Source organism: Homo sapiens, chromosome 7 (genome assembly GCF_000001405.40).
Source record: "Homo sapiens chromosome 7, GRCh38.p14 Primary Assembly".
Lineage (NCBI taxonomy): Eukaryota > Metazoa > Chordata > Mammalia > Primates > Hominidae > Homo > Homo sapiens.
The window spans coordinates 80,324,904-80,341,431 of record NC_000007.14 but is presented as its reverse complement, the minus strand read 5'-3'; the positions used below and the strand labels follow the sequence as shown (position 1 = coordinate 80,341,431).

Here is a 16,528-nt window from a genome sequence, read left to right as displayed (position 1 = left end):
TTTGAAGTGTTGTGTTTTCTCACCACTGTGTTCCTTAAAGAGAGCTGTAACTGACATTTTGAAAGCAAAATGAAACACATATATCAGTTTTATTTTAAAATTTGACAAAGCATATTTCTTTTCTTCATATAATTAATTGAGTTAGATTTTAAATGCATACATCATTTGTGCACCTGCAATAATTTTTTGTTGTACATGAAAACTCCACTCATCTCAAGATGATGTATACGGGTCAATTGCGACAATGTTAATTTATAACTTTTTCTTTCTAATCAATGGCGTTTAAAAGCTAAGAGTGCAATTTAACTGCAATAAACACCATTCCCTGATTTTTGGCTAAATATGTTTTGAGATAATGAATCTCCCAGATTTTCTTATCAGGAAGTGCTAGATTATAGTATAAGAAATTTGATACTCTGGAAAGAATATTTGTCACTGTTGACTCCTTCCAGTATTTTACCTCATATGCACTCCATCACTGTCTTAGTCTGCTTTGCATTGCTTTAACAGAAAATCACTGACTGGGTAATTTATAACAAACAGAAATGTACTTGGCTCATGATTCTGGAGGCTAGAAAGTCCAAGAGCATGGTTCCAGCATCTGGTGAGAGCCTTCATGCCCTATCATCTAATGGCAGAAGGTGGAATGCCAAAAGAGGGTGAGAAGAAGAGCAAGAGGGGCCAAACTAGATTTTGTAACAAACCTACTCTCAAGATAACCAACTCATTTCTGTGATAATGGCATTAATCCATTCATGAGTGCTCTGCCATCACAACCTAATCACCACTAATTGGCTTCTACCTCCCAACATTGTTACAGTGGGGATTAAGTTTTCAACACACAAACTTTGGGGGACACATTCAAACCACAGCAGTCACCAAATTTTTCAAAATATCTTGTGAGTACATTTGCTTTTCTCCATCACTGCTATCACCACTTTAATCCAGGCCACCAATGCCCTAAACTAAAATGCCATAAATGGTTTCCTTGCATGTCATGTGATTTACTTCCAAACCATTTCTCCATACTACAGCACAGGGAGCACTTTTAAAATGCATTTCAGATATAATGTTAGTGACTCTTTGTTGTCCTCAGTATAGAATACAGGAAACTAAGCATTAAGCCTACCTCTTAAGTTTTAATATTGGCCACATATTTACTCTCTAATAATAAAATTCAGCTGTGGCTCCCGCATACATCATAGTCTCCATGTCTTTTTTTATGCCATTGTTTGCGTCTAGAATGCTTTGTGCATGTACGGGCACACACACATGCACGCAAACACACACACCCCTCTTCAGGACATACTGTAGATGTTGTCAATACCAGAAATCTATCTTTGATTTCTTCTTCAATTCCGTTTTGGTTACACATCAAAATCACCAGGAAGTTTTTAAAGATCACATTGCCCAGGCTACAATATGATTAAATCAGGGTAGGATCCAGGCATTGGTATTCCACTGTATTCCAGGTGATTCCCCTGTATGACCAAGGGTGAGACTCACTACATAAGAGTTCCAGCTAACTATTTTTCCTAACAACAATCCAATCTATTGAATTCATCCCCTATATTTCACTGCCCAATAATTAATTCGAATCTCTGTTTCGTCTAACCTAAGCCATATTTCTCCATCTTGGCTCTAGGTTATTACAAGGGGCAATGTCAGTGCTTTGTGGAAATCCAAGGCTTTAGTTATTTGATCAGTGTTTTATTAATGTGCTGAATTCTTTCAAAATACCTATTAATCTTAAATTATATGAGATTTTTCTACATTCAGTAAAACATCTCTACAAATCAAATATTTTTTCTTTCATATTAATATTAATATAGGTATAAAATAACCTATCCAAACCATTAAGGACCTGAAAAGAAGCCTTTAAAAGTCAATGAATTTTATGTGTAAAATATATTCTTTCATGAATATGTAAATGTATGCTAATAAATTTTCCACTTCTCATCCAAAATCTCAGAAAATGACAAAATACAAAAGGACCTCCACAATATTCACATCACTTTTTAAAATTTGTTTTTTTTAATTGGCAAATAAAATTGTATATACTTATCATGTACAACATGTTCTAAAATATGTATACTTGTGAAACGGCTCAGTTAAATTAGTTAACATATGTATTACTTCATCACTTTCTAAATTATTCAGTTCACTTACAGACTCACTGTTTCCAAAATAGATAGTTTCTTTCTTATTGATTTTTTTTTTTGCATAATAATGAACATACCACACAATAGCAAAGCATTTTTCCAGATACTATTGTGCATGGGGAGATGGCTATACAAGAAGTGAAGACCCCTAAGTCCTGATTCTTATCCCTGGCTCAAGATATATTTAGTCTGTGATATTGGGCAATGTTTTAATCTTCCCAAGCCTCAATTTTACCTTAATTTTTAAACATAATATAAAATGAGAATAAGTTAAGTCTACAGGCTGGAATTTCTAACAGTATTGTAAAAATTCAATGAAATAGGTGTGTGTTCTTTCTACAGAGACAGATGCAGACTCAAGGGGTAATTGAAAAGAACTTATTGAAGGGTCTATTTACAAAAGTGTGGGCAGCATAAAGAAACTAACAAAAGATGGTAAAATACCCAAGGACTAGTCACAACAGGAAGAATTTACCACCCCTAGACCCCAGAGGACAGAGGAAGGAGCTGTTTCTAGAACCAGGTACGAGCCGAACCTGTGGAAGAGGGGCTTGCTGTAGCTATGGGTAAAGGAACACAGTCATTGCCAAAACCCCAAATAGTTCTTTGTAGATTCTGGATATTAGCCCTTTGTCAGATGGGTAGATTGAAGAAATTTTCTCCCATTCTGTGGGTTGCCTGTTCACTCTAATGGTAGTTTCTTTTGCTGTGCAGAAGCTCTTAAATTTACAAGAAAAAAACAAACAACCCCATCAAAAAGTGGGCAAAGGATATGAACAGACACTTCTCAAAAGAAGACATTTATGCAGCCAACAGACACATGAAAAAATGCTCATCATCACTGGTCATCAGAGAAATGCAAATCAAAACCACAATGAGATATCATCTCACACCAGTTAGAATGGCAATCATTAAAAAGTCAAGAAACAACAGATGCTGGAGAGGATGTGGAGAAATAGGAACACTTTTACATGGTTGGTGGGCATGTAAATTAGTTCAACCATGTAGAAGACAGTATGGCGATTCCTCAAGGATCTAGAACCAGAAATACCATTTGACCAAGCGATCCTATTACTGGGTATATACCCAAAGGATTATAAATCATGCTACTATAAAGACATGCACATACGTTATGCTTATTGTGGCACTATTCACAATAGCAAAGACTTTGAACCAACCCAAATGCTCATCAATGATAGACTGGATTAAGAAAATGTAGCACATATACACCATGGAATACTATGTAGCCACAAAAAAAGGATGAGTTCATGTCATTTGCAGGGACATAGATGTAGCTGGAAACCATCATTCTGAGCAAACTATCACAAGGAGAGAAAACCAAACACCGCATGTTCTCACTCATAGGTGGGAGTTGAACAGTGAGAATACTTTGACACAGGGTGGGGAACATCACACCCCGGGGCCTGCCACGAGGGTGGGGGACTGGGGGAGGGGTAGCATTAGGAGAAATACCTAATGTAAATGATGAGTTAATGGGTGCAGCACACCAACAAGGCACAAGTATACCTATGTAACAAACCTGCACGTTGTGCACATGTACCCTAGAACTTAAAGTACAGTAAAAAAAGAAAGAAAGAAAGAACCCAAATAGACAGGGAAGGAGCAGGGAGTAAACACCCTGACCTCCCTCTCCTCCCCTCCTCTGATCACCTGCTGATAATTTTCACTGAGTAAACTACCCAAATTCGGCAGAGTCCCAGTAATGCATTCTGTAGAGGTCACCACCAGGGGTACAGAGCAGGATGAAAGGAGATAAATGAATAATCTGGAAGAACAATTGGAGAACTTTCAGCACAACATGAAAGCTGGTTTAACCCAAAATGTGTTCAGTAAATTGTTTAAAAAATATTAAATGAAAATGCAATATAACAGTGAAAGCTATCATTCTGTATGATACTATAATGATGGATACAGGTCATTTTACATGTGTTAAAACCCATAGAATGTACAACACAAACAGTAAACTCTAGGCACATTTTGGCTTTAGTGAAAGATAACATATCAATATTAGCTCATCAACTGTAACAGATGTACCACACTAATGAAAGGTGTTAAGAACAGGGGAACTCGGTGGCAGTGCAAGGGGTGTACGGCGCTCTCTGCACTTTTTGCTCATTTTTTCCCTACAGACCTAAAACTGCTTTTGAAATCTATTAATTTTTTTAAAAGTTATTTTCATGACTAATACTCATTGAAAAATATCTAATCATACCCAAATTTCCACCAAGTTATTGCATCTATGAAGATGAGGTGATGATGTAACCACCATATAACACTGACTTACAAGAGGTTGACTCTCAGGCCTGGGAAATACATTTCCCAGATGTATTTCTGGGAAACCTCCAATTGCAGAGAATTAGTGTGACTTTCTCTTCTAAAATCTCCATTTTTATCCCTTGGTTCACTAATTTAGAAAGACAAAATCCTTCTTTGCCTCTCTCTCCATTTCTGTCCCTTGATTCACTAAGTTAGAAAGACAAAATCCTTCTTTGTCTCTCAGTGAAAAGTTCTTCTTAACATACTCTGTATGATCATTGCTCTTGAAGTGGTTAAGTTTTCACTTAAAGCTAAGCAACTTTGTTTTCATCATATTTTAAATGTGAATGTTCTTTGCCCCTTAAAGAGATTGGCAAAATAAATTTGGAAATGTTTTCATGGTTGTTATAATAACAGTAGATATATTTTGCTGATAATTTTTCACTATGGTGACAAAGGAAATAAAACATTTTAGGCAAAAAAAATACAATATGATTGAAATACACTTAGCTTAAAATCATATGTCAATTTCTCTTAAAAATCATTTATTTCAACATGATTTATCATATTCTTATGGTAGGTGCTCTAAAATGTACATTACATACCAAAATAATGAGAGTCTACATACTGATATCTAATATAAAGGTCTTAGTATTTTATATTATTTTGATATAAGACAGAACAACAAGTGTTTGTGAAATCCTGTTACTGTTCTCTTTATGTGATAATTTACACTTTAAGCGCAAAATTATAGATGTTATTTAACATCAGATTAGAAAAGAAATCAAACTATGTAAACAAGCAAACAAAAAATTAGACTCCATGTCTCAAAGCAGATACTAGATACGCAGCAATAGATTTTAGAGATTGTTCCTGATTGCACTACCAGTAGGAACAAGTGTGGTTGGAAAGAATATGTAGCCAGCTGTCTCTTCTCTAGAGCATAGGGTAGACTTATCCTTTCTCTCCTTCTCCTCCATCTCCACAGCAGTCCCCTGAAGTCCAAACACCCTGCATCCCTGTGTCAAAGGAGGGCTCTGATAAATGGCTTTCTCCAATAGGCCTGTTTTGTCCTCAAGGGTTGTCACCAGAGAGCACGGAATCCCCAATCTTTAAGGTGCTGAGGTCTAGCAGCAACAGCTGAGCTGCTTGGTGCTTCTGAGAGATTTAGCATAAATTAGGGCAGTTCACACAGTTTATTACTTTAATGATAAGACTAAGTTCTTAGTCACAGAGCAATGTTTCAAATATGTTTCTATGTCACCTTTTGTACCCTCGTGCACATAAATGCAAACATTGTAAGGATATAAACGACTCTTTCTCGTGTTATCTGTGTTGTTTGCGTGCACACCCTAATCCTAGGAAGGCTGAGGAGCAAACTGTCACACAGGGATATGAATGCTTTCCGGTTTGCAGCTGCAGCTGTTGTTTGCAGTGCCTGATGCCTTTCACAAGCTTTTTTCCTCATCCACATCTATTCAGTGACTTTGTTTGAAAAAGCTTACCCCAAATTCCGAGTTTACTTAGCCCTGTGACCTCCCAGAAATCCATAGCAGGTTAAATCTTCTACGGGATTTTATCACAGAAGAGCAATAGCTCAACAGCTGTTAAAAAAAAAAAAAAAAAAAAACTTATAGGCCCTCTTTAATTTGTTATGCAATAAATAATTTTTAAAAAGATATTTCAAAAACTCAATCCAGGATTTGCCCCTCTGGCCAAAGGGAGTCTATACAGTTGAGCCTTCTAAGAATTACTTACACAATCTCTTGTTATTTAAGGAAGAGAATGTTTTGGCCAAGAATGGACATTTTGTAAAATTAAGATGAACAATAAAATCTTAGTAGGTAATGGGTTCAGAAGCTACTTCACAATTTGTTCTTGGCAAAATTACCAAGGGTTCTGTGGCTCTGCAACACCCTGGAAAAACATTTAAGGGAAAGGATGCAACAGGAAAACAGATTACAGCTCCCTCAAGTGAGGAGTGGAATATTTCTTCTCCTGTAGCCAATGTTTGCATTTGTTCCTGCAGATCTTGGGAGAAAATGAACAAGGACATCCAGTGGAAGTTTTGGAAATATGTCAATAACTTTATTTTCCCCTGCCCAGGAAAGAGAAAAAGAAGGAGGAGAAAAATTAATTTATTCATAAAAATATATGCAAAACAAAGCAGGGAAGAAAATATGCATACCTACCATAAAATCCCTCTTTGATATTTTACAACTAAATTAGAAGGATCACCACCAGCAACAGCACACATTATATATGCAATGGTAAGGTAAGAGAGAGGAAAAAATGTCATTTGGTTAATATGCATAAATTCAGACACATACACAAGGAAAACAGGTTAGCCCCAAAATCGTAGTGAGGGTTTAAGCTTTAATAATTTCAGAAGTGGAAATGCTACAAACTTTAAAAACAACATTGTTTGAAGGCTTAATTATTTAGTTTCTTTTAGACTTATTCAGTTTTATGCAAGTCAAATAATATCTTTTTAATCTTAACTTTTTGTTTCAGTCCACATTTGCCATCATGTACATATGTAAACAAAGCAGAGTTGAAAATACACATAGCAACAAGCCATGAGGTTGGAGTTGGGTTTTACAACTTCCTTCTTCCAGTATCTAGTTCTTGCCCCTTGTCTCTCAGCTGGCATTTCTGGTCTGGTTGCAGTTCTTTACCTGGTTGGGTGACTAAATATTATTCCTAAAGTGTTCCCAGTAGTATTAGCAGCAGCAGTAGCAACAGCAGCAATAGGCATTAGTAGTAATGGCTAAGAGTGCGTAAAAGCAACCCTAGCAACCCTATTTTCCCCTAATAATCAGAATCAATCATCTCAGACCTTTAACTCTTCCCTTGTCCATTGAGTCAGTGGTATAAGGAGCTCAAGGTGGTTCCATGGAATTCTCAGTTTCCAGTTGAATAGAACCATTTTTGTGTGTGTGTGTGTGAGAATTAAACTCAATAATCCAGCAGAGTTCAAAGTTACAGAAAGAGAAAACAAAATTTTTACTGGGTGCATTGTTGAGGTAACAGGGCAGGGAATATTCCCACTCCAGCCCCTTCGTTCTCAAAGCCATGTGTCCTGACTATTGTAGAAACAGCATCATGTATTTATTAGTCATTATTGCTATCAATTGCTATTGGAATATATTGTACATCTTGTCAGAAGATACCTTGGACTTGCAAGCTTTTATGTGTATGTGTTGGCTCTTCTTGTCCTCCCAGCAGGTGACGTACTGTTTCTTCAATAGACCATCGGGCTATTTCATTAAGACAGCATCTTCAGACAATGTGGTACATGGTAGCACCAGTAAGTCTCACTGATATGAGTGACTACTTTCACTGTAAAATGAGCTCTTTGGTCCGAAGCCATATTATGTGGGATACCAAGTGAGAGAATAAGGTATTATACGCAGGTGGTGATGCTGGTGAAAGCAATGTGGGGGAAGAAATACAAATTTATATCCAAATTATCTTTTCTAAAGGCAATGTTTTCTTCCCTTCCAGAATGGCGGGGGTCCAAAGTAATTATTCTGCCACTGACTGGCTCACTTGTCACACTAGGAAATGGTTCTATATCAGGGCCTCGGTTTGGTCTACACTATTGGTTGTTTCATTCTTTGGCTGTCATGATTGCCACATGAGCTTTCTCAGAATAAAAATCTTTGTTTAGACTTCATCTTCATAATGGCCATTTTATTCATGAATCCAGTGATGAAATGACTAAGAAAAGAGGCAAACTGACTTGCACAGAATGGGTTGTGTACAACTATTATTGAAAGCCTTCTCTGGAATGTTTTTGTGAGCTTTCACATACACTTTCACTAGATATCTCTGTTACTAAGCCTCCTACTTTATATCCTGTGTGATGGTTTCCTGTAGAAACTATTGTGAGAGAGAAAGAGTTTATATAGTCCTTAGGTAAGATGATGAAGACATACTACTGTCTCTGCCAAATGAAAGCAAATTGTTTTCTGTTGTTTTTCACAAATTATATTAAAAAGTTCCAGATAAATACCCGAATATTAACTATATACTGGATAATAGGAGCTAAATTGATTTACTCCATTAAAGATACCACATCTGGAACAGCAACCAAAATTAGAGTCACCACCTGATTAATTTCATGACAATCAACAGAGATTCTGCAAGATCTGTATGTCTTCTTCACAAAACAAATAGTTGAGTTAAATAGGAATGTGATATTTAAAAATTTACTCTGCATTTTCACATATTTGATAGTGGCAGTAGTCTGCAACTGCCCTTGATTTGGCCTTAATTTTCATTTATTGCTTTGCTAGAGAGAAGCACTCCCTCGGCTTCTATTTTTCCCTTCCTATTATAGTGGCTGTCTTCTAAAGGGCAGAAACCCAATGTGGGGACTCTGTCAGTTGCTGAGTATGACTATTACAACTTAATAGACATTAGTACACATTCCAACATGATAGACATTATTGGCAGCCAAAATCTCACGTATTGCCTGATCACAATAAGACCAGTCTCGCCGTAGCAGTTTGAAGCTCCATGTTTTAGGGTCAGTTTGGGACTTACGTCCAAAAATGCCTTAGAAATCTGGCCATTTGCATTATTCAATGCATGGTGTCCCCTGGGAAATTGCCATAGTTTAGTTGATGGAAGGCTAAAAGGATTATTCGTAGTACCTACTCATGGTAATTTTGTTGGGGTTCTCCCAAAGGGAATCTGCTTGTTCTTCATTCAAAAAGTTCTGGATCTACGTACTAGATTAAATATGGCATTTCAGTGAGAGGCTGTGACTCTGCTTTGTAGTGACTCAATTCAGATCTCTAATCACTAAACCTATAGTTTTATTTTTCAATCAAATATCCAGATCAAGTATATATTATACAAAATGTTAGTAGGCTGCTTAACTATCAAGTCCTAGACCCAGCCAAGCCACTCTGCTGTACCCTTCTTCCCTTTATGGTAATTGAACCTCCTTGTGTCTGGCAGTTGGTAGTGCTACTATTCGGCTTCTGTCATTCTGAGATCTTTTATTTCTTTAAAATCAATGAGTCCATGTAAGAGGCTTAATCTGTCACAGTCTTTCCTTGCCTGCAAAGAACAGCCACCACTACCTTTGCAACAATGCTGGATCTGCCTTCCCTGGTATCTCTTAAAGCTTTGGTGAAGGAAGTGTTCTCTAAATCCTCCTCAGGGACACAATAATGGAAAATATGTGAGTTTCCCATGAAAACACCCTCCATCATTCCTATTTCCTTAAGCTTTTAGATTCATTAGTCTACATTAAACTAAGGACATTCTGGCACCTCAACCTTATTTAATTTAGGTCACTTCTATGTTCAGATTTAAATCAACAGACTGAATAAACTACGAGAACCACTCCCACCTGCTTGAGGTCACAGTCACACCAGAATCTCCGGTAAAGGTACCCATATCAGTAATCTAATGTGGTACCTGGTATGGTATTTTTGTGTGTGTGTGCTGCTTCAAAACGTTTACAGTCATTCCTCCCTACATTCCTCCCCTGGTTTGTGTGAAGGTAAATTTGAAAGATAATGTTTCTGTTTTCGTGTATGTGCTATCCCTCGGATTAGACTTTGTAGTTATTCCCAACTTGTCTTGTTTTCATCCTCTAATTATAGATCTGGAAGCAATGAGTGGTAGTAGGTATTGAATAAAATTGTCATTGCCTTACAAGAGGACACATCATTGAGGTCATTTAGAATCTTCAGGTGAAGGAAGACTGATGTTCTCAAACAGAAAAGATGGGCTGTTTCTGATGGAAATTAAGGATCAATGAGGTAGGCAGTTTGAAGTCCTCAGACTTTTTGGAATTCATCAAAAAGTTTTCATCCCAATTCCTGGAATTCTACTCTTTCTTAATCAATACCCCAACTTTTACATTGAAGCCCTGGCATAATTAAGAATTTAATTTTCCTTTTACGTTTGCAAACCACATGATCAAATCCTATTTCTGGTTTAGTATTTCGTACCTCTGTAAACACAAGTTGTTTGCCATTGTTTTCTTTCAACTACTAGTATCCTACTTTCCACTGATGATGGGGTCACTATGGCCTTCCAAGGGCAAATCACAGATTCCCATCTGCGAGAATCTGTTTTCTGAACCACATCCTTACATTATCTATCATATCAGCCAGAGTTTGGTCAGAAAAGTGAAAGACACACTAAATATAATAAGCCAGAAAAAATTAATAAAGCAAACTATAACCTTACAAAACAATTTGAAAACCTGGTTTGGAAGAGACAGCAAAGATCTGTTAGATTCAAGAAATTGGGAAGTAAGGAATTGCAAGAAACCACTACTTATTTCCTCAGCTGCCTTCAGCATCAAAGTGGGTGATTCAGCTGGATAATATTGGGAAAATGCAGGCAAAAATTTCAATCTGCTTTATTATAATCCTACAAATCTACAAATCAGCTGCTTACTCACTAATTGTGCTTCCTTCTCTTTTTTTCTGCTAGGAGACTGTTTTCCATGGGTCTCTCACATTTCTGGACATCTTGCAAATGAAGGCACTCACTGACTTTATTTCAAATTATCTTTTGAAGGATGTTTATATAGCAAATGACAGAGAAAATGTCTCTCTCTAGGGTGAAGACCAGATAGAATTACTGCTCATTTTAAAAGATTCAGGTACCCTATGTTTAGAATTCCTCTCTTGTACCCCACCCCATTATGTGTGCAGGTATTACCCAGACTTCTTTGTATTATCCTGTAGATTTGTGTCTTCCAGAACCAATGCAAATGCTGATACTCTGGTTTTTGCTGTTCTGAATAATAAAGTCATTAATATCTAGCCTAAGAGTCTCATGTCTTCTGGCAGCTTCCATGAAGCAGTGGCAGACTAACATGATAGCTTGCAAGAAGGGTAAAACTTCAGATGTTTCCAGTTCTTGATATTGAATTTCATTAGTCGTAGAAGGACCTTTGTTTTCTGCAATATAGAAAAATATCACAGAAACAGGCAAACATAAATAAATATTGGCTGCCAAGCCCGTTCTTTAAAAATCATCTAACAGCTCTTTTTATTCACGTTAACTTTACAAATGCTATTGGTTTTGTTTTTTAGATCATTCATACCTCATTCATTTTATCTTTTATATTTATTAAATCCTTACTTATAAATTCTCATTTATATATATATGGAACAATTAAATTGTTACTCTCTACTTGGCTTTAATTTAAATTAGAAGCAAAAACATACGTTGTCTCTAACTGATAGCAATTTTCTTTTATTGTTTTTTCCTAACTCCTTAAGTTGAATGGTTTGTATATTTGAAAACTAACTATAACTTTAGTCGCATTTCATAGCTTTTTCTTTGAAGTATCCTTATTTTAATAAGTTTCCAAGTAATTTGTCCTGTATAATCTTATTTCTTCTTTTTATTTTATTTTATTTTTTAAGTTCCAGGGTACATGTGCAGGATGTGCAGGTTTGTACATGTGTCATGGTGGTTTGCTGCACCTATCATCCCATCACCTAGGTATTAAGTCCAGAATGCATTAGCTCTTTTTCCTGATGCTCTCCCTGCCCCCCTGCCCTCCTACAACAGGTTCCATTGTGTGTTGTTCCCCTCCCTGTGTCCATGTGTTTTCATTGTTCAGCTCCCACTTATAAGTGAGAACGTGCGGTGTTTGGTTTTCTGTTCTTGCATTAATTTGCTGAGGTTAATGGCTTCCAGATTCATCCATGTTCCTGCAAGGGACATGATCTTGTTCCTTTTTTTTTTTTTTTTTTTTTTTTTTGAGACGGAGTCTCGCTCTGTGGCCCAGGCGGGAGTGCAGTGGCGCAATCTCGGCTCACTGCAAGCTCCGCCTCCCGGGTTCACGCCATTCTCCTGCCTCAGCCTCCCGAGTAGCTGGGACTACAGGCGCCCACCATCACGCCCGGCTAATTTTTTTTGTATTTTTAGTAGAGACGGGGTTTCACCGTGTTAGCCAGGATGGTCTCGATCTCCTGACCTCGTGATCCGCCCGCCTCGGCCTCCCAAAGTGCTGGGATTACAAGCGTGAGCCACCGCGCCCGGCCGATCTTGTTCCTTTTTATGGCTGCATAGTATTCCATGGTGTGTATGTACCACATCTTCTTTATCCAGTCTATCATTGATGGGCATTCAGGTTGATTCTATGTCATTTTTATTGGGAATAGTGCTGCAATGAACATACACATGCATGTATCTTTATAATAGAAGATTTATATTCCTTTGGGTATATACCCAGTAATGGGATTGCTGGGTCAAATGGTATTTTGGTTCTAAAATATTGAGGAATCACCACACCGTCTTCCACAATAGTTGAACTAATTTATATTCCCACCAACACTGTAAAAGTGTTCCTATTTCTCCTCAACCTTTCCAGCATCTGTTGTTTCTTTACTTTTTAATAATTGGCATTCTGACTGGAGTGAAATGGTATCTTACTGTGGTTTTGATTAGCATTTCTCTAATGACCAGTGATGTTAAAATTTTTTTCATGTGTTTGTTGGCCACATTTATGTCTTCCTTTGAAAAGTGTCTGTTCATGTCCTTTGCCCACTTTTTAATGAGGTTGTTTATTTTTTTCTTGTAAATTTGCTTAAGCTCCTTGTAGATTCTGGATATTAGACCTTTGTCTGATGGACAAATTACAAAAATATTCTCTCATTCTGTAGATTATCTGTTCGTTCTGTTGATAGTTTCTTTTGCTTTGCAGAAGCTCTTTAGTTTACTTAGATTCCATTTGTCAATTTTTGCTTTTGTTGCAATTGCTTTTGGTGATTTCATAATAAAATCTTTCCCCATGTCTATGTCCTGAGTGGTATTGCCTAGATTTTTTTCTAGGGTTTTTATAGTTTTGGGTTTTACATTTAAGTCTTTGATCCACCTTGAGTTCATTTTTGTATAAGGTATAAGGAAGGAGTCCAGTTTCAATTTTCTGCAGATGGCTAGCCACTTTTCCCAGCACCATTTGTTAAATAGGGATTCCTTTTCCCACTGCTTGTTTTTGTCAGGTTTGTAGAAGATCAGATGGTTGTAGATGTGTGGTTTTATTTTTGAGTTCTCTATTCTGTTCCATTGGTCTATGTGCCTGTTTTTGTACCAGCACCATGCTGTTTTGGTTACTTTAGCACTGTAGTATAGTTTGAAGTTGGGTAGTGTGATGTCTCCAGCTTTGTTCTTTTTTCTTAGGATTGTCCTGGCTATATGAATCTTTTTTTGGTTCCATATGAATTAGTAAATAGTTTTTTTCTAATTCTGTGGAGAATGTCAGTGTTAATTTAATGGGAATAGCATTGAATCTATAAATTGCTTTGGGAAGTATGGCCATTTTCAAAGTATTAATTCTTCCTATCCATGAGCATGGAATGTTTTTCCATCTGCTGTGTTTTATCTGATTTCCTTGAGCAGCACCTTGTAGTTCTCCTTGGAAAGGCCTTCACTTCCCTTGTTAGCTGTATTCCTCTGTATTTTATTGTCTTTGAGGCAATTGTAAATTGGAGTTTATTCATGATTTGGCTCTCTGCTTGTCTGTTGTCGTGTAAAGGAATGCTTGTGATTTCTGCACATTGATTTTATATCCTGAGAATTTGCTGAAGTTGCTTATCAGCTTAAGAAGCTTTTGCGCTGAGACAATGGGGTTCTTTAGATATAGGATCATGTCGTCTGTAAACAAAGACAATTTGACTTCCTCTCTTCCTATTTGAATACCCTTTATTTCTTTCTCTTGCCTGATTGCCCTAGCCAGAACTTCCAATAATATGTTGAATAAGAGTAGTGAGAGAGGGCATCCTTGTCTTGTGCCAGTTTTCAAGGGGAATGCTTTTGGCTTTTGCCCATTCGATATGATATTGGCTGTGGGTTTGTCATAAATAGCTTTCATTATTTTGAAGTATGTTCCTTCAATACCTGGTTTATTGAGAGTTTTAAACATGAAGAGATGTTGAATTTTATTGAAGGCCTTTCTGTGACTATTGAGATAATCACATGGTTTTTGTCTTTAGTTCTATGTATGTGATGATTTATATTTATCGATTGGCTTATGTTGAACCAGCCTGGCAGCCCGGGTTGAAGCCAACTTGATCGTGGTAGATGAGCTTTTGATGTGCTGGTGGATTCTGTTTGCCAGTATTTTATTGAGGATTTTCACATCAATGATCATTAGGGATATTGGCCTGAAGTTTCATTGTATCCCTGCCAGGTTTTGGTATTAGGATAATGCTGGCCTCAAAATGTTAGGGAGGAGTCCACCCTTTTTAATTGTTTAGAGTAGTTTCAAAAGAAATGATACCAGCTCCTCTTTGTACCTCTGGTAGAATTCAGCTGTAAATCCATCTGGTCCTGGGCTTCTTTTGGTTGGTAGGCTATTTAGTACTGCCTCAATTTCAGAACTTGTTATTGGTCTATTCAGGGATTCGACTTCTTCCTGGTTCAGTCTTGGAAGGGTGTATGTGTCCAGGAATTTATCCATTTCTTCTAGATTTTCCAGTTTATTTGCATAGAGGTGTTTATAGTATTCTCTTATGATTGTATTTCTGTGGGGTTGATTTCTTCTTCGAAGTAATGGTTTTTAGAAAGCATATTTGTGATTCTTCCCTTTCATTCAAAATTTGAAGAGTATTTGCACAAAGTACTTGTTATGCCAAATGTTGAAGAGGAGAGAGCAGTTTATCTGAAAGAACTGTAAATTTTTGCATGTTTGAATTAAAAAAAGTTGATTTAATGTACAGTACACATCAAAATGCATAATGTTTTGCAAAGAGATAGTTCTTTTAGATCTTCGTACTTGCCCTAGATCTGTAAGATGTTTTATGTCGTTTCCCCCAACATTCTTTAGAATTGAAGTCGGTACAAAATTTCTAAAAGGTAATTTCATAGCATAAACAAAAAAACGTTTAAAATTTGATCAAAAAATTCTACTTCTAGTACTATATCATAAGGAAATAATTGCACATGTTGGCAAGGATATATTCAAGAGAATAGTCATTGTAGAGTTCTTTCATTAGTGAAAAATTAAGAACAACTCTAATATTCATTAATAGATGCTTAAGTGAAAAAAGTAATAAATCCACTATTTGAATTCTGTGTATTACTGAGAATGAAGACTTACATATCAAAAAGGAATGGAAATGTGTTCATGATAAAGGATTGAGTTATATGAAAGCAGATTTTGTTCCAACTTACAATTAAAATATGTGCATATTTTGTAGTTATGTATGTATGAGAAGTATGAAGACTCCACATCAAAAAGGTATTAGTTACTTGTCTCAGTGTTTTGATTATAGATGAGTTTTCTTCTTTTGCTTTATTTTCTAATTTTTTCTAATGAATGTATATTATTTGTGCAATATATATAACGTTAACAACAAAAGTTTTCCCTTTCTTTCTTTCTTTCTTTCTTTCTTTCTTTTCTTTTTCAATGCAGGATCTCACTCTATCACCCAGATTGGAGTGCAGTGGCACAATAATGATGCACTACCTTGATCTCCCAGGCTCAAGTGATCCTCCAGCCTCAGCCTCTCAAGTAGGTGCCACCATGCCCAGCTAATTTTTTTTTTTTTTGAGACAGGATCTCACTCTATTGTCCAGAATGGAGTGCAGTGGCATGATCATGGCTCACTGAAGCCTTGACCTTCCAGGCCCAGGTGACCCTCTCACTTCAGCCTCTCTGGTAGCTGGGACTACAGGCATGCACCACCACACCTGGCTTATTATTATTTATTTATTTATTTGGTAAAGATGGGGTTTGGCTGTATTGCCCAGACTGGTCTTGAACTCCTGTGTTCAAGTGATCTGCTCACCTCAGCCTCCCAAAATGCTGGCATTACAGGCATGAGCCACCATGCCCGGCCCTGATTTTTTAAAAAATTTTTGTAGAGACAGGGGTCTCACTATATTGCCCAGGTTGGTTTCAAACCCCTGGGCTCAAGCAATCCAAAGTGCTGGGATTACAGGCACGAGCCACTGCACCCAGCCCCTTTTCTGTGTTTTCAGTGTGTAAAAAGTTGCCAGCTGCTACAGATGTTTACAGAAGGTAGTTAAAAGAGACAAACTGTATGAATTAGAAATGTTCATTAAAACCTGCCGAGGCCTCACAAGATGAAGATTAA

General features: G+C 36.9%; 1 long non-coding RNA gene across 2 annotated transcripts; it reads left to right on the top strand.

Annotated features, from left to right (window-relative positions):
- The first annotated feature begins 6,478 nt into the window (after positions 1 to 6,478).
- Positions 6,479 to 11,239, top strand: LOC105375373 (uncharacterized). 2 transcript variants are annotated; one of them, XR_007060401.1, is made up of 5 exons: positions 6,479 to 6,709; positions 7,668 to 7,749; positions 9,765 to 9,846; positions 10,064 to 10,222; positions 10,905 to 11,239. It is a non-coding gene; the product is annotated as an uncharacterized LOC105375373 (long non-coding RNA). The 2 variants fall into 2 exon arrangements; XR_001745251.2 differs by lacking the exon at positions 6,479 to 6,709 and having other exon boundaries at positions 7,311 to 7,749.
- The last annotated feature ends 5,289 nt before the right edge of the window (positions 11,240 to 16,528 follow it).